This window comes from Homo sapiens, chromosome 6 (assembly GCF_000001405.40).
Source record: "Homo sapiens chromosome 6, GRCh38.p14 Primary Assembly".
In the NCBI taxonomy this organism is placed as follows: domain Eukaryota; kingdom Metazoa; phylum Chordata; class Mammalia; order Primates; family Hominidae; genus Homo; species Homo sapiens.
The window spans coordinates 44506662-44528488 of NC_000006.12; the positions used below are offsets into that span (position 1 = coordinate 44506662).

At 42.3% G+C, this 21827-nt stretch overlaps 1 long non-coding RNA gene across 1 annotated transcript; it reads left to right on the forward strand.

Moving 5' to 3' along the window:
- The first annotated feature begins 3561 nt into the window (after positions 1–3561).
- LOC105375074 (uncharacterized) lies at positions 3562–20871 on the forward strand. The gene is made up of 3 exons (XR_926838.2): positions 3562–3620; positions 7255–7361; positions 19893–20871. It is a non-coding gene; the product is annotated as an uncharacterized LOC105375074 (long non-coding RNA).
- The last annotated feature ends 956 nt before the right edge of the window (positions 20872–21827 follow it).

Here is a 21827-nt window from a genome sequence, read left to right on the forward strand (position 1 = left end):
AGGGATCTGAGAATGCACATTGATCACTTGCCAGTGCTATGCTGGGTAGCAGGTACTTATGTCTACACCTCAGTTAATTTTCACAACTGCCCCATGAGATCAGTACAATTATTTTCACCCCCATTTTAAAATTGCTTCCTAGAGGCACCACTTTGGGCAGAAACGTTACTTAACCTTTCTGTGTCTCCTTTTCCTTCTCTGAGGAAAATGGGGATGACAATAATTTGCCTTCCTCATATAAAGCACTTAGAATAATGCCTGACACACAGTAGCCAGTGAATAAATGCTAATATTGTTACTGCTGTTATTTTCCAGATGAGGAAACTGAGGCTTGGTAAGTGAGACACAAATGCCTGATCATATTCTAAGATGGGCTGAATCAGGCCCTCCTGATAGCTATGAGGATGATGAGGATGATGATGGAGGAAGAGGAGGGGAAGGAGAAGAAAGAAAAGGAGAAGGAAGAGAAGGAGAAGAAAGAGGAGTAGGAGAAGAAGAAGGAGGAGGAGAAGGAGGAGGAGGAGACAAAGAAGATGATGTTGGTGATGATAAAGATGTTGGTGGTGATGACAATGTTGATGATGATGATGAAAGAGGAAGAGGGGAGGGGAAAAAGGAGCAGGAGAAAAGGGGGAAGATGATGTCAGTGGCTGTAATGATGTTGTTGACGATGATGATAAAATGAAAGTGTTGATGATGTTGATAAAGCTGATGATGATGATAGTAAGAAAGACAAAGACATGATGAAAGCTAATAATTATTGAACATTCACCATGTCCCAGGCATTGTGCTAAGCATCTCACATTTATCGACTGAGGAAACTGAAGTGCCAAGAGGGTAAGAGCATCACTGGCATCATGCAGGTGGTGAGGGTGCAATCAGGACTCATGCCCAAGACTGCCTGACTCAATAGCACTTAACTCCATATGGGTGCCACCATTGTGAAAGAGTCTGGACCGGGAGCTCAAAAGAGTTGTCTCAATCTTCTCCGTATATCAGAATCACCTAAGGAGCTTTTTAAAAATACCAAGGCCTGAGTCTCAACCTTAGAGATTCAGAATCAGTTGGTGTGGGGTGGAGCCTGGGTATCAACATAATTTATTCAGGTGATTTTGAAAACCACACTATCCAGATGATCACTAAGGTTGCCCGGTCCTGGTATTTCAGGCATCTCTGATCATCCTCTATTCTCCCTACCAAGGAGGCTGCAGGGAAGGAAGTCTGGCAAGACATCTCAAGGAGGAGAGGGAGCTGGAAAAGCCAGAGTCAAGTGAGCCCTGGGCAAGGCAGGCTATGAACTATGAAAGAACATGTGAATTGGGCCTGGGCACTGCCACCATTTTCCTCAACTTTCTGGCCATCTGCTGATTGTGGGGCATCTTAGAAATAAAAATAATATTCCTTGGATGTTATTTCATAATACTGTTCCTCCCTTTAAAGCAAAGGCAGTGTGTTGTCCTGGGAGTGAATTTACAAAGAATAGCATCATTTTATTTTGAAACAGTCACCACCTTAGAGTTCATTTTACCCAAGCTTCTTTTTTTTTTTTTTTCCAGGGTCTTGCTCTGTTACCTGGCACTATCATAGCTCACTGTTGCCTCAAACTCCTGGACTTAAGCGATTCTCTTCCACTCTCTGTCCCCCACCTCCCAACTACCTGGGACTACAGGCATGCACCATCATGCCCTCCTAATTATTTCAGTTTTTGTAGAGACAGGGGTCTCACTTTGTTGCCCAGGCTCATCTTGAACTCCCGGGCTCAAGTGATCCTCCCACCTCAGCCTCTCAAAATGTTGGGATTATAGGTGTGAGCCACTGGGCTCAGCCCCAAGCTTCTTACTTGTAGTGAGGAAACTGAGGCCCAGAGAGGGACAGTGGCATGCCCAAGCCCACAGGACCAACTTACTCGTCATCCCTTGGAACGGCCTGCTTGCTGCTGCTGTGAATGAGAGCATGCCAGGATTCTTGCTATGAAGCCTTTATTTTTAAAAAAAAAAAACCCAACAAATCAATATGCTTTATATAATTTTTGTTCATCTCTTGGAAAGATGCAATGTGGCAGTTAAGTCCACTGTCAATATTTTTATGAACTCTGTGGAAAATATGATGTTAAAGGCTTTTGGTAACCACTTCATTAAGCTTGGCTTTTTCTAGGCCACCACAAAAGGTAAATAAACCCTAATGAGTAATATGCCCAGATTGAGATCCTGTAAGCTATCCAAAGAGTCAGTGCCTCAAAGCACACTCATCCCCCTACATCAAGCCTCAGAGGAGTCTGAGAAAGGTGATCCTAGCCCTGTGCTGCACACCAAGACCTTCAGACAAAGACTTATTAACCCACAAATTAGATACTAACTAAATAGAGCCAGAAATTCCATAAACGGAAAAGAATTGCATAGCATTAGTAATACTGTGAAGTTAGCATGCCACCAGTTGGGCTCCCAGGACAGCAGAATGCCCTGGTAACCAGCACATAGAGATTAATGGGGCTGCTGGGCCTAACAATGACCCCAGGCCTTACTCTTTCATTCCTTCCACAAATTAAATGCTAGGTATTGGGGATTCAATAGTGATTAAGACAAAGTTCCTGCCTTTCAGGAGCTCATTGTATTTTGGGGAGAAATTGGACTACAAGGAAACAGACTTGTCATCTGGGGGTGCAATGGGATGTATGGTGAGTGAATGTCCCATACTGGGGAGCAGGGTCAGGAATATTTCCTTGGAAGGACTGCAGAGTTGAAGGAAAGAGCTCATCTTTAAAACAGGAGAAACTTGAGTGTTATTTACAGATGATGGGAAAAGCCAACAGAAAGAGAAAGAATTGAGGTCAGTTATTGGCCTGAGTTTCCTAAGAAGGTATAAGAGGGCCAGGCATGGTGGCTCACGCCTGTAATCCCAGCACTTTGGGAGGCCGAGGCAGGCGGATCACCTGGGGTCGGGAGTTAGAGACCAGCTTGACCAACATGGAGAAACACCGTCTCTACTAGAAATACAAAAAAATTAGCTGGGCGTGGTGGCTCATGCCTGTAATCCCAGCTGCTTGGGAGACTGAAGCAGGAGAATCGCTTGAACCCAAGAGGTGGAGGTTGCAGTGAGCTATCGCGCCATTGCACTCCAGACTGTGCAACAAGAGGGAAACTCCGTCTCAAAAAAAAAAAAAAAAAAAAAAAAAAAAGAAGGTATAAGAGAATGGAACTGGGTTGGGGGATGAGCCTCAGGAGGAAGGAGAACCTGCCTGTGAAACAGATGAGAAAGAGACAAGGGTGGACACAGATGTGCATGGACTGGTGGGCAAGGAACTGGAGGTGAGGAAATGGGAAGGGGCAGCTGCTTTGGGTGAACTAGGAGGTGTGACATCATCTAAGAGTGTAGGGGGCAGTGAAGAGGAAGAGGGCTTCATGAAAGGGGAAAGTTTAACAAAGTGCCAGGAAGAACTGACATGGGATTTACTGTGTCATAGAGGATGTCTACTGGGAGGTGGTGGGGGCCCAGCTGTCACCAGGGACCATGAAAGAAAAGTAGCCTCACAATGAATGGTTGGGTGGGTTTCTCCAGAAGTCCCCAGCAGCACGAGTATAGGAGCAAAGAAGGCTGGCTCCATTTACGATCAGTTTTTCCAGGTAAATATGAGGGCAAAAACATCAGGCCAAGGAATTAAGAGTTCTTGTAAGACAGGCTGAAGTGATGGCATATAATGAAGGGAGTGGAGATAGAAGGGGCTGATAGAGTGGAGAAAATGAAGTAGCTAAGGGTCTGCAGGTCTTAATAAGGTTAAAAACAGATGCTGTGAGATTAGTGGAGGAAAATGCTAGAAGCACAGTGATCCTTACTGGACTGTGAAAACTTCAGTTCCAGGTAATGGTGAGCTAGGTTATTTGGATCAACTGCCTGCTGAAAACAATCAAGAATGCTGCATAAAACATAAAAACATCTTAAAGGTAACAAGAGCTGACAAAATCCTAAGGAATTACCAGGCCATTGTTGAAGGGAAAAAAAGAAGCCAATGAGCACAGAATCTGCTTTTGCCCTGACGAATTCTGACATCTTAGCAAATCTGAAGTTTTGTTTTGTCTACCAAAATCAAAATCAAAGGCCAGTACAAAGTGTAGGAGTCTAATAGGAGGCCTCTGGCACTATAAGCTGGGCCTCCTAAGACTATTTCCTCTAAAGTAGGAGGTGAACTGAATTAAACCAATTCTTACATAGTTTTGCAGCTCAGATTTGTACCACCTAAGTTGGCCAGGGAAATTCAAATCTTGATTTTGGATTAAGGTGAGATTTCCAGACACATATCCTCTATAAACAATTTTTCAATCATAATAGCCAGCACACAGTCAAAAATAACTAAATATACTTAGAAATCAGATACAATGAGGAACCCACAGATGTAACAGACCCATAGATTTCAGATATTGGTATTATTAGATACAGACTACGAAAAACTATGCTTGCTATGATTAAAGAAATAAAAGATCAGTCCTGCAGGGAACAGGAAACCATAAAAAATGACATAGCAGATTTGAAAATCAAATGGAATTCTTAGAACTGAAAAATACAATAATCAAAGTAAAGAATGATGTTGGTTTTTGAGGTTTCTGAGATAGAGCAGTTGCTAGTGTTGATATCCAAAGTGTGGCCAGTGGGAGTTTGCAGCTGAAGTGGAGTGGAGGAGTCATTCAAGGGAGTTGAAGTGATGCAGAAACTGGGAGGCTAAAGGGTTGGGGGGATTTTTCACGTGGCCTGTGAAGTCATCCAAAATTATGGTAGGACTTGGGGCGGGGAGACAGGTGCCCGAGATATCACTGGATGAGGGGAAGTTTAGCAGACAGAGATGAAGAGAGAGAGTAGTCTTGACAAATGAGATTAAAACATAATGGAGTAAGGAATTCCAGCAGGAGTGAAGAAGTAATCTGGAAATGGGACTGAGGAGTGAGAAGGATGGATCCCATCTCTCTGCCAAGAACTGTAAATGGTCTGGGATTTTACGCTACTTACAAGCTAAGAGCTGAGCCTGCCGCAGCTTTATGGATGCTGGCAGAAGACTTGAGGCTCAGGTCAGAGATGAAGTTCAGTATATTACTCATGGCAATGGTAGCAGCCAGAGTATCTGCATTTGTATTGATTCTTTGAGTTGCAATCCCTACAGGAGGATGTAAAGAAAGTCAAGTTATACCCACATGTGAAGTGGGTTAATTTTTAAGGACAGGAATCCTGAATTTATGGACTCTGAATCTTTTATAATAAGCAGTAAATCAGCCTGCTGTTTGCTCTGGAGGGAGACATTATCTTTATTACACTGGTCAGTAAGCGTATCTGCCATTTGCTCCTGAAGAGACACTGTCTCCATCTTCGAAGCCTAATCATCATACAACCACCTTGAAAAGAAAGTCTAAAGTGAAGGTAACCAATACCTCTGCTGGCAAGAAGTGGTAAAATGTGAGAGACCTACAGAGAATTCTCAACACTTTTCAGCCCAGGTCTACTGGTTTTGAGGATAAATGGTTTTTATTTGCCAGAGTTTAAAGGAAGTGGTATCCTCAGAGGCCAGCAGGATTTTAGGTAGAGCCAGGAGGTAGGATATATTCTATGAGAAAGTTAAGAATTTAGAAAATTTGTTCCTACTCACTAAAAAGAGAAGTGCTTGGATCATTACAAATAAAAATTTGTACCAAAATTCTGTTTAGTACAACATAATACTGTATTCAACACTCAACACTGTATTCAATACAGTATTCAACACCATGTTCAATACAGTATTCAACACTGTATTGTAGTGCATTCCAGAAAAGACAGAATGAAGAAGGGCCTGGGCACTGGGTAAGGAATGAGGAGACTTGCGTGGTGGTCCAGCTCTCCATTAACAGCTGACTTTCCCCTCGTGGTCATCATTTCCTCATCTGTAAAATGAAAAGGATGGAGATAGTTAATAGTTTTGAAATCTCTTTTTAGCTCTGTTGATATAAGATTTTCATGCTTAGAAAATTGGCAATATAAATATAATACCTTTAGAAATTCCCTATTAGCCAGAAAACCCTACTTTCTAGGACAGAGTTTACTAAAAAGACAACAAAGAAGAAGATAGTAGTGATAAGAATGACTATCAAATAGTAGATGGAAACCATGGCTCCCAGCCTAGTGCTGCGCTTTGTCTGCTTTGGACGCCAGAACTATCCATGGATATTATTGCTTAGAGAGTAAATTAGTTTTAACTTTCTGGAGAGGCTGACTGACCAACCCTGATTTCCTAATGCACAAGCAGACACTTAGAGTCTCAGGGAGGCAGCATGTGTCAGAGAATGAATGTGGGCTCTGGAGTCCAACAGACCTGGGAATAAATCCAGACTCTTCCACTTGCAGGCCATGGGACTAGAGTGTTACTATTTTGTGGCCTGCCCCATATCCCTCTCTTTTGGGAGCTGCACACTGACTTTCTGGAGCTTGCCCATACCCTACTCTATCCATGCGGTTCCTGTGGGAAGTGACACATTCTCACATGACCACGCCCACTGGACACAGTTAATTGGTTAAGGGGCAGGTATCTGGCCCAGGCTGAGCCAATCAGAGCCTTTCCCTGTGATTTCTGTGATTGGAACTGAGGAGTGGCATCAGTCCTCTGTGGGCAAAGGCTGAAGATGACAGGCATGTGAGAATATAGGCAGACACACTCCCTGCCATGTGCAGAAAGCCAGTCTGCAGTGAGAGCAAAGATGAGAGGTGGAGAAACAGGCCTGGTGGCGTCTGAGACACTGCTTCTAGTTGTTCTGAGGCTTGGCTGCCCCTTGCCTTTCCCATGCATGGTTTGGTTCTTAAACAGTTTGTTGTATTTCCGGAACCATCAAGTGTCCCTTTTTGTGTAAGGTTGTCCAAGTTGGCTTTGAACATTTGCAACCAAAAGAGGTCTGACTCATTTAGAAATCCTGGGCAAATCGCCCTCGCAGTTCCTCCATTTCCTGATTTATAAAATGGTAAAAATTGGGATCAAAATGTATAGTATAGCCGTAGGGGTAGCTGAGAAGATTAAGTGACATAACATATGAGAAAACCTGGCACTGTGCCTTGCCAGTAGGGGAGCTTAAGAAATATTATTTTCTTTCCTCTTTGGCCTTAAAGTCATCCAGGGTGCTATTTTTAAAAGCTAACATTTATTGAGCACTTATTGAGAGCCCGGCATTGTACTTGGCGTTTACAATGCATAATTGCATTTAGCCCCCAGTATAATCCTATGCAGTAGCTACTATGATCTTCATTTTACAGATGCGGAAACCATCATGAGGGAGTGGATAAGGGGACTGTGAACTGTTCGCTGGAGTTAAGGCCTCCAGCCCCATCCCAAAGCCAGCACTGCTTGAGCCTCAGAGGAGGTGAGTTCAGACAATTAAAATACAGATGTGAGAGTAAATGTTGAGAACTTACTACCTTGAAAAGAGATTTAGGTTGAAAACAGAAACAGTTCCGAGATGGTTTGGCTGAGGTAACTATGATGGGCTGTATGGGGTTATTAAGGGAGGCTGAGGCATTTAGAGCCCACATCTTTTGAACTTAACCTCATGGAGGAGACACTCCCGCCCTCAGCTGATGAGCATGACAGGCCCTGTCACAAGAGGTCTTAGGACTGCCCAGAGTGGAGGGGAGGGAGATGCTATGGCTTGGGTGTCTGTGTCCCTCCAAAACTCATATGTTGGTACCTAATACCCAGTGTGATAGTATTAAGAGGTGAGGCCTTTTGGGAAGAGATTAGGTCATGAGTGCTCTGCTCTCTTGAATGGATTAATGCTCTTATAAATGAGGTTGAAGGGAGTGCCAAGATGCCCTTCTACTCTTTTGCCCCTTCCACCACGTAAGGACACAGCATTTGTCCCTTCCACCACGTGAGGATGCAGCAAGAGGTGCCATCTTGAAAGCAGAGAGCAAGCCCTCACCAGATACTGAATTTGCTGGCATCTTGATCTTTGATTTCCCAGCCTCCAGAGCTGTGATAAATAAATTACTATTGTTTATAAATTTTCCAGTCTAATGTATTTAGTTATTGCAGCACAAATGGACTAAGACAGGAGGGAAGTTCGTTCAAATCCTGTTGGTGCTAAGATGCTACCCTGTGCCTCAAGGGACACGAAGCTTGGACACAGGACAGAGGTGGGGCGGGAGCCAGGGAAGGTGAGGGGCTGAACTGGAGCAGCAACCAGGGTGGTGGTGGGGGATGGGATGAGAGAATTTCTTAAGATTGTTTCTTGGACAGACTGAAGATAATGAATAAATTTTGCCCCAGAAAAAAGAGGAAGGAAAGAAGGAAGGAAGGAAGGAAAGAAAGAAGGGAGGGATGAGGGAAGGAAAGAAGGGAGGGATGAGGGAAGAAAGGAAGGAAGGAAGGAAAGAAGGGAAGAAGGGAAGGGATGAGGGAAGGAAGGAAGGAAAGAAAAAGAAAAACTAAAAATCAGACTATAATGTTTAATTATTGTTATGGTTTAGAAATAATTGTCATTTCTGATTTTGGAGGCCCAGTATGCATACATTCCAATAGATCTGTCATTGTCACAGCATTTGCATTTACAGCTGCTTCTGTCTGGAATCTCTGTAGTTCTGGTGGTCTCCAGGAACAAAGTGTAATGATTTTGACTTTTCAGCGGCTTGGTTTGGAGATTGGGTGGTAGAACCAGCAAGGTTTGGCACTAGGAGCACTAAGTCCTGAGTTTGTATTGTAGTTCCTCTCTTAACAGGCTGTGTGATACAAGCAACTTGCTGCTTTTCTCTTAGCTGTGCAAGGAATTGTTTCAAATAATTTTGGCAGTGGCTACCTCTGGCCCTGCTTAAGGGGAGTGGAACCCCATCTTTACCCCACTTCAAGAGCCCCCACCTTCTATCTGTTTTAGACTCTGAAGTCTGGAAAAAACATTTCAATTTTTTAAAAACGTCTTATTTTTTGTTTTTAATTTGAAAAAAATAAATTTTATTGTGTATATTTAAGGTATACAACACAATGTTATGGGAGACATATCTATAGTAAAAAGGTTACTATAGGAAAACAAATTAATGTATTCATCACCTTATATAGTTACCCATGTTTTTTGTTTATGTGACAAGAGCAGCTAAAATGTACTTATTTAGCAGGAATTCCAAATACAATTTTATTACCTATAAATCTCATGCTGTACCTTAGAGTCCTAGACTTGTTTATCCTACATATCTGCTACTTTGTGTCTTCTGACCTACATCTTCCCATTTCCTCCTCACCTCCCACCCCAACCCCTGGTAACCACTGTTTTGTTCTCTATCTCCCTATATTTGATTTTTAAAAAAGATCCCAGGTTGGGCATGGTGGCTTACACCTGTAATCCCAGCACTTTGGGAGGCTGAGGCAGGCAGATCACCTGAGGTCAGGAGTTCGAGACCAGCCTGGCCAACATGGTGAAACCCCATTTCTACTAAAAATACAAAAACTAGCCGGGCACAGTGGCACACACCTGTAGTCCCAGCTACTTGGGAGGCTGAGGCAGGAGAATCGCTTTAACCTGGGAGGCAGAGGTAGCAGTGAGCCGAGATCACACCATTGCATTCCAGCCTGGGCAACAAGAGTGAAACTCTGTCTCAAAAAAAAAAAAAAAAGAAAGAAAAGAAAAAGATTCCACATATAAGTGAGATCATGCAATATTTTCTTTCTGTGTCTGGTTTATTTCACTTAGCATAATGTCCTCCAGGCTCAGCCACATCATGGCAAACGGCAAGGTCTCATTCTTTTTTAGGGATGAATAATATCCCACTTATCTATCTAACTATCATCTATCTATCTATCTATCATCTATCTATGTATCTATCATCTATCTATCATATTTTCTTTTGTTCCCTTTTACTGATTATACTTTACATATTTGTAGGGTACATATGAGAGTTTGTTACACGCATAGAATGAGTAATGATCAAGTCAGTGTATCTGGGGTATCCATCATCTTTAGTGTTTATCATTTTTATATGTTGGTATCATTTCAAATCCTCTCTTCTAGTTACTTTGAAATCTACATAATATCATTGCTAAAGATAGTTGGCCTCGTCTGCTATCAATAATTAAAACTTATTTCTTCTATTAACTGTATGTTTGTACCTCTCTTCATCCCCTCTCCCACCCCCTGCCACTCTTTCCAGTCTCTGGTATCTATTGTTCTATTTTCTGTGTCCATGAGATCAAGTTTTTTAGCTCCCACACATGAGTGAGAATATGCAGTGTTTGTCTTTCTGTGCCTGGCTTATTTCACTTAACACAGTGACTTCCAGTTCCATCCATGTTGCTGCAGATGTCATGATTTCATTCTTTTTATTATTATTATTGAATAGTATTCCACTGTGTCTATGTGCCACATTTTCTTTATCCATTCATCCATTGGTGGGCACTTAGGTTGAATCCATGTCTTTGCTATTGTGAATAGTGCTGTGATAAACATGTGAATGCAGGTAACCCTTTAACATACTTATTTATTTTCTTTTGGATAGATACCCAGTAGTGGGATTGCTGGATTGTATGGTGGTTCTACTTTTAGATTTTTGAGAAATCTTCATACTGTTTTCCATAGTGGTTGTATTGATTTACATTCCCATCCATTCAACAGTGTATGAATTCCCTTTTCTCTGCATCCTCTCCAGCATCTATTCTTTTTTTGTCTTTTTAGTAATAGCTATTCGACTGGGGTGAAATGATACCTCATTGTAGTTTGGATTTGCATTTTCCTGATGATTAGTGATGTTGAGCATTTTAAAAATATATCTATTGGCTATTTGTATGTCTTCTTTTGAAAATTGTCTATTCATTTCCTTTGCCCACATTTTAATGGGATTATTTGGTTTTTCACTGTTGAGATATTTGAGTTCCTTACATATTCTGGATATTAGTCCCCTGTCAGAAGAGTTGTTTGCAAATATTTTCTCTCATTCAATAGGTTGTCTTTTCACTTTTTGTTTCTTTTGCTGTGCAGAAGCTTTCAAGTTTAATATAGTTCCATTTATATATTTTTTGTTTTGTTGCTTGTGCTTTTGAGGTCTTAGCCATAAAACCTTTGCCTAGACCAATGTCCTGAAGAGTTTTTCCTATGTTTTATTCTAGCAGTTTCATAGTTTTGGATCTTATATTTAGGCCTTTAATCCATCTTGAATTGACTTTTGTATACGGTGAGAGACTGGGGTTCAGTTTCATTCTTCTGCATAAGGTTGTCCAGTTTTCCCAGCACCATTTATTGAAGAGTGTGTCCTTTTCCCAGTAGATGTTCTTGGCAGCTCTGTTGAAGATCAGTTGCCTGTAAATATGTGCCTTTATTTCTGTGTTCTCTATTCTGTTCCTTTGGTCTATGTGTCTGTTTTTATATAAATACCATGCTGTTTTGGTTATTATAGGCTTGTAATAAGTTTTGAAGTTGGGTACTGTGTTGTCTCCAGTTTTGTTCTTTCTGCTCAGGATTGCTTTGGCAATTTGGGCTTTTTTGGTTTCACACAAATTTTAGGATCGTTTTTTCCAGTTCTGTCAAAATGACATTGGCATTTTGATAGAGATTACATTGAAGCTTTAGATTGATTTGCGCAGTATGGTCATTTTAACAAAATTAATTCTTTTGATCCATGAGCATGGGATATCTTTCCATTTGTTTGTGCCCTCTTCAATTTCTTTCATCAGTGTTTTCTGGTTTTCCTTATAGAGATCTTTCACCTCCTTGCTTAAATTTATTCATATATATATATATATATTTTTTTTTTTTTGTAGCTCTTGTAAATGGGATTGCCCTCTTGATTTCTATTTTGGCTATTTAATTGTTGGTGTATAGAAACTACTGATTTTTGTATGTTGATTTTGTATCCTGCAATTTTACTGAATTTGTTTATGAGTTCTAAGAGTTTTCTGGTGGAGTCATCTGTTTTTTCTAGATATAAGATCTTGCCACCCACAAAGAGAGAAAAGTTGACTTGCTCTTTTCCAATTTTGATGCTGTTGATTTTTCTTGCCTGATTGCTTTGGTTAGGACTTCCAGTACTATGTTAAATAGGAGTGGTGAAAGTGGGCATCCTTGTTTTGTTCCATTTCTTAGAGGAAAGGCTTTTGACTTTTTCCTATTCAGTATGATGTTAGCTGTGAGTTTGTCATATACAGCCTTTATTATTTTGAGGTATAGTTCTTCTATGTCTAGTTTGTTGAGAGTTTTTATCATGAAGGGTGTTGAATTTTGTCAAATACCTTTTCTGTTTCTAGTGAAATGATCCCTATGGTTTTGTCCTCCATTCTGTTCATGTGATGTATCATGTTTATTGATTTGCATATGTTGCACCATCCTTGCATCCCTGGGATAAATCTCATTTTATCTTGTTGTATTATCTTTTTGATATGCTGTTGGATTTGGATTACTAGTATTTTGTTGAGGATTTTTGCATCTATGTTCCTCAGGGATATTGGCTATAGTTTTCTTTTTTTGTTGTGCCTTGTCTGGTTTTGGTATTAGGGTAATGCTGGCCTCATAGAATGAAGGAAGATTCCTTCCTCTTTAATTTTTTTGCAACAGTTTGAGGATGATTAGTATTAGTACTTCTTTATACATTTGGTAGAATTCCACCGTGGATCCACCTGGTTCTGGGATTTTCTTTGTTGAAAGACTTTTTTTTTTTTTTTAAATTACCGATTCAATTTTCTTACTCATTATTGGTCTATTCAGGTCTTCTATTTCTTCCTGATTCAATCTTGGTAGGTTGTATGTTTCCAAGAATTTGTCAGTTTCCTCTAGGTCTTCCAGTTTGTTAGCATATAGTTGTTATAAGAGTCTCTGATGACTTCTGTATTTTGTCGTATCAGTTGTAACGTCTCCTTTTTCATTTCTGATTTTGTTTCTTTGGATCTTCTATCTTCTTGCATAGTGTAGTTAATGGTTTAAAAATTTTGTTTATCTTTTTGAAGAACCAATTTTTTTTATTGTTCTATTGTGGTTTTTTTTTAGTCTTTATTTCATTTAGTTGTGCTCTGATATTTATTGTTTCTTTCCTTCTGCTAATTTGGGGTTTTGTTTTTTCTTGCTTTTCTAGTTCCTTGAGGTGCATCTTTAGGTTGTTTATTTGAAATCTTTCTTTTTCTTTCTTTTTTTTTTTAAATAAAGCTATTTATTGCTGTAAACTTCTCTCTTAGCACTGCTTTTGCTGTGTCCCACTGGTTTTGGTATGTTGTGTTTCGATTTTCCATGATTCAAAAAATTTTTTGATTTCCATCTTAATTTTTTCATCGACCAAATGGTTGTTCAGAAGCATGATGTTTAATTTCCATGTATTTATATAGTTTCCAAGGTTCCTTTTGGTATTGATTTCTAGTTTAATTTCTTTATGATCTGAGAAAATACTTGGTGTAATTTTTATTTTTTGAAATGTTTTCAGACTTGTTTTGTGGCCTAACATGTGGTCAGACCTGGAGAATGTTACATGTGCTGATGAGAAGAATATATACTCAGCAGTTGTTTGATAAAATGTTCTGTAGATGTCTGTTAGGTCCATTTGATCAACAGTCCCATTGAAGTCCAATGTTTCTTTGTAGATTTTCTATCTAGATGATCTGTCTAATGTTGAATGTGCAGTGTTAAAATCTTCTGCTATTATTGTACTGGAGTTTCTTTCTTTCTTTAGATGTAGTAGTATTTGCTTTATGAATCTGGGTGCTCTAGTGTTGGGTGCACATATATTTAGAATTGTTATATCTCTTGCTGGGTTGATCCCTTTATCAATACATAATGACCTTCTTTGTCTTTTTTTAAACTGTTTTTGACTTAAAGTCTGTTTATCTGATATAAGTATGGCTACTTCTATTTGCTTTTGGTTTCTGTTTGCATGGAATATCTTTTTCCATCCCTTTACTTTCAGTCTATATATGTATTTCCAGGTAAAGTGAATTTCATGTAGGCAGCATATAGTTAGATTATGTTTTTTTTTAAATTCATTCAGCCAGTCTACAACTTTTAAGATCTAGAATTTAATCTGTTTACATTCAGGGTTATTACTGATATATGAGGTTTTTTTCCTGTCATATTGTTCATTGTTTTTTGGTTGTTTTGTATATTCTTTGTTTCTTTCTTTTTCACTTATTGATTGTCCTTGTGGTTTGCTGATTTTCTGTGGTGGTACCATTTGAGTTTTTCAAATCTTTCTCATTTTTGTGTTTGCTTTATTAGTGAATTTTATATTTGTGTGTGTTTTCACGATGACAGCTGTCAACCACTAGCTTCCAGGTTTAGGACTCCCTTGAGTATTTTTTGTAAGGCCAGTCTAGTGGTGATGAATTGCCTCAGCACTTGTCTGGGAAGGACTTTATTTCTCCTTCATTTATGAAGGATAATTTTGCTGGATGTAGTATCTCTGCGTGTCAGTTTTTTTTTTCTTTAGTACTTTAAATACATCATCCTATTCTCTCCTAGCCTATAAGGATTTTGCTGAGAAGACCACTGTTAGTGTGATGCAGCTGAGAAGACCACTGTTAGTGTGATGCAGACTCTTTTTTAAGTTACTAGATGCTTTTCTCTTGCAGTTTTTAGAATTTTCTCTGTCATTGACTTTAGACAGTTTTCCTATAACGTGTGGTGGAGACCTTTTTTGCATTGTACTTGATTGGGAATTGCTGAATATCTAAATCTCTTGCTAGACTTGAGACATTTTTATCTATTACTTTGTCAAATAGATTTTTGAACCCTTGTTCTCCCTTCATCTTTGAGAATACCGATAATTCATAGATTTGGTAGTTTTGTGGTGTCTCATATGTCATGAAGACTCTGTTCATTCTTTTTTCTTTATTTTTGACTGACTTGGTTATTTCAAAAGACCTGTCTTCAAGTGCTGAGATTTTCTCTCCTGCTTGATCTAGTCTAATGTTGAAGCTTTCATGTGTATTTTGTATTTCATTCAGGGAGTTCTACAGTTCGATAATTTGTTAGATTCTTTTTTATTTATCTCTTTGGTAAACTTCTCATTCATATCCTGTATTGTTTTTCTGAGTTCTTTGTACTGTCTTTCAGAATTCTCCTGTATCTCATTGAGCTTCTTGAATATCACAATTTTGAATTTCTGGGATTTTGTGAGTTTCTTTTTGATTGAGATCTGTTGCTGGGAAATTATTGTGTTCCTTTGGAGATGTCATATTTCCTTGCTTTTTTATGCTTCCTATGTCCTTATGTTGGTGTGAGTGCATCTGATGTTATAGTCTCTTCCTCCAGTTTTTGAATTTGCTTTCATAGGGGAGTTTTTTTTTTTTTTCCTGAAGATGTATCACTTGTGTTGGTTGGATAGGGTCCTTTGGTTTTGATTCTGGGTGCATGCAGTAGCATAGTCTCTGTGTGATTTCTTTGGCAGTAGACAGCATCAGTTGTATCTGTGATCTCCTTGGTGGTTTAACATGTGGTTATTAGTGGAGGTTACGGTGAAATTTTGCTGGGAGCAAGGATGCCAGGTGGACAGGGATAACAAGTGGGCCGGAGTGGTAGCAGCAGTGGGCTGAATGTGCCTGTTCTTGGGGCGCAAGGTAGTGTATGCTGGCACTGATGTTAGAAGAACCAGGCAGGCCTATTCTGGGGCCTCCTGGTGGCTTGCTCAGATGCCAATAGTGGCAATTGGCTGGGTGGGTGAGCAGGTTCTTGGGTCGCTAAGCAGTTGGTGTGGTGTGGGCAATGGCAGTACTGGGGCAACTCTCTGGGCAATGAGGCAACTCTCTGGATGCCAAGAGGTGCACACTGGTGGTGTGGTGTGGGTTGCCACCCACAGCTGAAGATACCCAGCTCTTAGGCTCACTTACTCTTAGCAGCAGCGACACTGCAGTGCCAAGCAGCTGGGGAAGGACCTGCCTTTCATGCATGAGCATGGGCATGGAGGCCACATCACCATTAGGGGTGCAGTTGCCACTCATAGCCTCATACAGGCAACTTTCCAGCTCGCCTGCCTCAGCCTCTGGTGGTAGCACCAGTGGCTGTGCCTTCAGTGGTGTGTGAATTGGGAAAAGCGTTCCTGTTTTCTCTATACCTGAGCCTGCACGCAGAGGCCACTCTACTGGTGGGAAGGGATCTCACTTGCCTCTTGTGAAGCTGAGCACAGAGTTTGTGCTGCTGCTGTGGGCAGGGTCACTCCTCACAGCCCCAGACAGGGAGTTCTCGAGCTCTGGAAAGCCTACACTTTGGTTTTCTTTGCCTTAGGAGATGCCTTTTCGGTGTGCTGCGCCACCCTTTCCTTGGATTGTCTTATTCCCTAGCGTACTGGAGACCCCGGAGCACTGTGGGGTCCAGCCAGTGCCATGCCTCTGTAGCCCTCCCACTGGACACTGGGGGATGTCAGTGGGGGATCCTGGATGGAGCTATGGAGGCTGTGGGTCCCAGGTCATGATGCAGTCTTATGATGACCGTGCTCTCACAATGGTGCCCTAGCTGCTTAGGTCTAGTGGTTGGGGGTGTGGTAAGTGACTCAGCGCAAGTTCCCTGTCTGGTGCAATGCCCTTGTGGGGTCTCCAAATCACTGCCTAGCTAGTGTCAGGGTTTGTGTGGTAGAGGAGCTCTCTTGTGGTTTAAATTACAACAGTCTGTGGGTGGGGAGGGTGTGGACCACTGAAGTTCTCTCACCCCTTCCCAGCAATACTGAGCCCCTTCAGGCTCCTGGCTGATCACAATTGTTCTCCTAGATGTGCTATTCAAGGTCAGTTTTTCTATTCATAACTTTTTTTCTCTTTCTGAAGAGGGCAGATGTCTAATGTCTCTAGTCAGCCATCTTGTCCCTTTCACCTATATCACAGTTTCTTTATCCATTTGTCTGAAGATGGACATTTAGGTTGCTTCCATGTCTTAGCTATTGTGAATAATGTTGCAATGAACATGGGGGGGCAGATATTTTTAGGAGGTGGCAATTTCATTTCCTTTGGGTATATTTCCAGGAGAGGGATTGCTGGGTCATTTGGTAGTACTAGTTTTAATTTCTTTAGAAATCTCCATACTGTTTTACATAGTGGCTGCACCAACCTACAGTCCCACCAACAGTGTACAAGAACTCCCTCTTCTCCACACCCTTGCCAGCATGTGGTATCTTTTGACTTTTTGATATTAGCCATTGTAACAGGCATAATGTGATATCTCATAGTGGTTTTGATTTGCATTTCCCCAGTGACCAGGGATGTTGAGCATCTTTGCATAATCACTTGTTGGCAATTTTTGTGTCTTCTTTGGAGAAGTATCTATTCAGGTCTTTTGCCCATTAAAAATTTTTTTGTTTGTTTTTCTACTATTGATTTGTATCAGTTCTTTATAAATTTTTGATACTAACCCCTTATCAGATATATGTTTTGCAAATATTTTCTCCCAAAGTGTGGGCTGCAATTTCATTTTGTTGTTTGTTTTCTTTGTTGTGCAGGAGCTTTTTAGTTTTATGTAGTCCCATTTATTTATTTTTGCTTTTGTGGCCTGAGCTTTTGGTGCGATATCCTGAGAATCATTGTGAAAGCTAATGGCTAGGAGGTGAAGTTTTATAGTTTCTGATCTTTCATTTAGGTCTTTTGTCCGTTTTGAATTTATTTTTGAGTATGATGTTAAATAAGGGTCTAATCTTATTTTTTTGCATGTGGAAATTCAGTTTTCTCAGGACCATTTATTGAAGAGACTTTCCTTTCCTCATTGTCCCCTCTTGGTGCCCTTGTCAAAATTTAGTTATCTAAATATGTTTAGACCTCTTTCTGGGCTCTCTATTTTGTTCTACTGTTCTGTGTGTCTGCTTTCATGCCAATACCATAATGTTTTGATTACTATAGCTTTGTAATATTGTTTTAAATCAGAAAATGTGATGCCTCCAACTTTATTTTTCTTTCTCAACATTGTTTTGGCTCTTTGGAATCTTTTATGTTTCCATATGCATTTCAGAATTGTTTTTACTATTTCTGTGAAGAATGCCATTGGAATTTTGATAGGGATTGTGAAAGGCATTTTAAACCAGTGGATGAGACTATATACCTAAAGGTTCTTCCAGCACTTACATTTGTGGGTTTCCCGACCACAGCAGGCCTTAAAGGATTATGGCAAGAGCTAGACATGACTTCACCATGTGCTAAACTGGGGCGCTCCTCATGTCCCAACTTTTCTAGTGTGAGTTAAGAATCCCTGTGTGTGTGCAGGTGGATATCAGCACAGACAGGGCCTAGGGATGCTGCTGACCCAGACAGGGAAAGAGTTTGTACCTGCACCTGGCAATCATTACCTCACTCGCTCAGAGGGCCCTGTGCTCACTGGGAAGCATCTGCCTGCTGCTAGCAGGACTTGGTTTCACTTTCAGCATAATAATTTGGACATCAGAAGGTTTTGGGTTACTAGTGCTGCTTTAGTCCCACCTGAAGGAGTAAAAAGGGAGCAATGACATTTGAAATCAAGATTCTAATCATCTTTCGGGGGTTTTTGATGTGGTTTAAGCCTGGCTGTTGGCCTGGCCAGAGCCTCCAGGGCAGGCCCTGCCCAGAGGTGCACAATGTGGCAAGAGTAGAAGGAGCTGTTACTTGAGCTCACAGCCAGATACGGAGAAAGAGCTCCCTCCAGACAGCGGATGGTGCCACCCACTCATCTCTCCCAGACTGTGCGTGGCTCAACCCATCCTTCCTGACCAGTCCAGGTGGCTGTGCTCCTGCAGTCTCCTCCCTGGTCTCGCACACTTTGACTTCCTTACTCAGGAGGCATTGTGAAGTCTCCCCGCGATGCCACTCCACCTCCTCTGGGATTCTCTGCCACTCAAGGTCTGTCCTCCTGCCAATGGTCCCTGGACTTCCTGGGGAGGCAAAGACCTGCCCCAGCTGGCCAACCCTTCCTTGCGTGTGGCCCTAGATGGTGGCCCTTTCTGGCTCTGCTTGCTTCCTGGCTCTGTCCTGACCCCGCAGCTCACCCTTGGCCTGCCCTGGCCTGGCTTCCACTGGAAATAAAATCACAGGGTCTTAGACAGAGTCCCACCCTGACTTACTCACATTCACTAAATGAGTTGGAGATGAAGCCATTTAATATCTAGAAACCCCAAAGTGTTTGTTGTAGCAACCCCCATATCCACGGCTCTGAGCCTGTTTCTTTTCTGTTGTGCAGTAAATAATAATAATAATAATATCCAGCCCTTCAACACCTCCTCATTTTCTAAGGAATTAAATACACACAACTCAGTGTGGAATTTGAGACCCTGTGTGGTCTGGTACCAATCTACCTTGCCAGCCTCCTCCTACTACTCTGTTGATGCATGGCCTTTGCTCCCATCACTTTGCTGGGAGGCCACTTGCTGATTCCTGAATATGCCCTGAACCGCCTCCTCCATACCATGATTCTGAAGTCCTCCGTCTGAATGGCCACCCCCACCCTGCCAATCTGTGTGTGCTGGATGCTGGACCACCCTTCCTAGTCCCTCCCCAGCCACTCTCCATGAAGCTCCGCGGTCGGACGCCCTGTCCCACCCCAGCCCAGCCTTCTCTGGTTTGGTGGTAGGTTCATCTTCCCTCCCTTCCTCCCTGCCTGTCTGTATTCCCGAGGTCAGGGATTGCATTTTCATATCCCTCACAGTGCTGGGACGGGAAGGAGGCACCCTGAGTTTATTGTGTGAGTTGAAGTGGAAGGTGATGAATGGCGGCTTCCCTTGGACAACAGATCTGGCCTTGGAGTGAAAGGAGGAAGAGGCTGAGTGCAGAATGAGGTTTCAGGGGAGGCTGGGTGGGGGTCTTTGTGAGCCCCCCAGAATTTGGTTGCCTGTGAGCCCATGACATGTATTGTTGGCATTAAAGCAACACTCAATACCATCAAATAAACTTTTATCATTAAAATTTTTTTCCCTCATAGACATAGGTTTGGGAATATTTTGTCTGCCAAACAAATTCCATTTATTTACTAATCTATTTTCCTATCTTTATCATTCAGAGATCCATGTAGCCACCACTGAGAACTTCAGACCAGAAGAGACAAGCAGAGATACTGCAACGCACTCATCCAGAGCAGAGGAACCCTATTTTGAGTTTACCTATAGGACCTTATAACAGGCAAACATATGATGTCTTCATAGTATTAGAAATAATGAAATGAAGGACTATATCAGTGACCTCCTGAAAGGTTAACTGGAAATCTCAGGATTAATCTTTCTCATTTTCTGTTAAAATGCAAATCCCCGGGTTGGAATAATGATTGAACATTGTTTGTTAGTTACACCTTAATGAATGGGGTTATTAGGGTTTAAGAGAATGAGGTCATTGGGGTTTATTAAACCATCAAGGGAGAGAACTAAGAGGGGACCCTGAGATGCCCAGTAAGGCAAATATTTGGAGATAAGTTTCATTTCACCCCTACTTGGCCTCCACAAGGCCTGCACACTTAAATATTGGTTTGAGAGAATTCTGAAGTCAGAGTGGCAGACCATGCTGGTCACACCCAATGGCCCGATCCTGCTACAGGAACACAATTTCACTCATGAGTGGGACACCCCCTGACTCTGGCTACAGGGGAAGAGCACGGTTCCATGCCATTTCCCTTTGCCAGTGATTGTTTCGGTGATGAATGTGTAAGCCATTTCTGGCCAATGGGATATAAGGGCGTTTAATCTCACCCCTCTCTTGTAAGGAGAGGAGGAACTTCCTTCTTCACTCCAGCCTGCCTCCACACATGGTTCTGTGAAGATGTAACATTTGGTTTGTGACAGCCATCTTGTGACCACAAAGAAAAACCGCAATAAGCCTTGGCATCACCACGGGGCTGAATTAACCCACCCAGGGGCCCCTGACCTCTAGACTTCTCGTTATGAGAAATGATAAATCCTATTATTTAAGCAACTACAGTCAGGCTGTTTTGTTCCTTGAAGCAAAGGCTTATCCTGATGCATCCAGAGGTGTCACAGTGCGAACAGGCAGAGGCCATGGCAGGGTGGGAGAGGGTCCGGGGGTGTCACAGTGAGGAGAGGCAGAGGCCGTGGCAGGGTGGGAGAGGGTCCAGGGGTGTCACAGTGAGTAGAGGCAGAGGCCGTGGCAGGGTGGGAGAGGGTCCAGGGGTGTCACAGTGAGGACAGGCAGAGGCTGTGGCAGGGCGGGAGAGGGAATGCCCCCTCCTAGTTTGCTTGCCCACAGCCTGATCACCATGAAGGCAGCCCAGGGAGGGCAGGGCTGGGCCTTCCACGGAACTGGAGGTCTCTGGGGCTCTCTCAGCCTCAGGAGCAAACAGCTTGAGCCCTGAGGACTCTGGGTAGCTCTCGAGTGTACCTAGCAGGGACCCACTCACCCAGCCCCACTTCCCGTCGCTTCCTGTCAGACTCCTGGAACGCAGCATGAATGGGCTCTTTCGTGACAATTTTGCACACCCCACCATTGATCCAAGCCCTTTAAAAATGACTTTCCTTCTTGTCTGGCATCTTCTCACTTCCTTCCTACACCTGTGAAGTCTATGCTTTTGTCAAGTCAGCTCAGACTGCCCTTCCCCCAGCCCTTAGCCCTGGGCGGCATTTTTATCCTCTCACTATATAGCTCACCAGACCGCCTGGATATCTCATTATGGTGGGAAATGAGAGCTAAATTTCCACTTGGCCATATCTGTAGGGGACACTGCTGGTGCCTGGCCATAGGCCCTGGCTGCCTCCATTCCCGTGCACACTGGTGGGGTCCTGCTGCAGCAACTGTGACTGGCTGCCCGAGGACTTGGCTGGAAGCCCCAGGGGGTCCACTCTGGGGAGCATTCCTTCAGGGATGCCATGGCGCATACATACCCCGGCTTTCTCACCGGTGTGGGGCAACTGTGAGGCATGCCCTCCGCAGGCTCTCAGAGGTCCCAGGTGCCCTCAGTGGTAACCTGTTCACAAACACACACTGCGGTGGT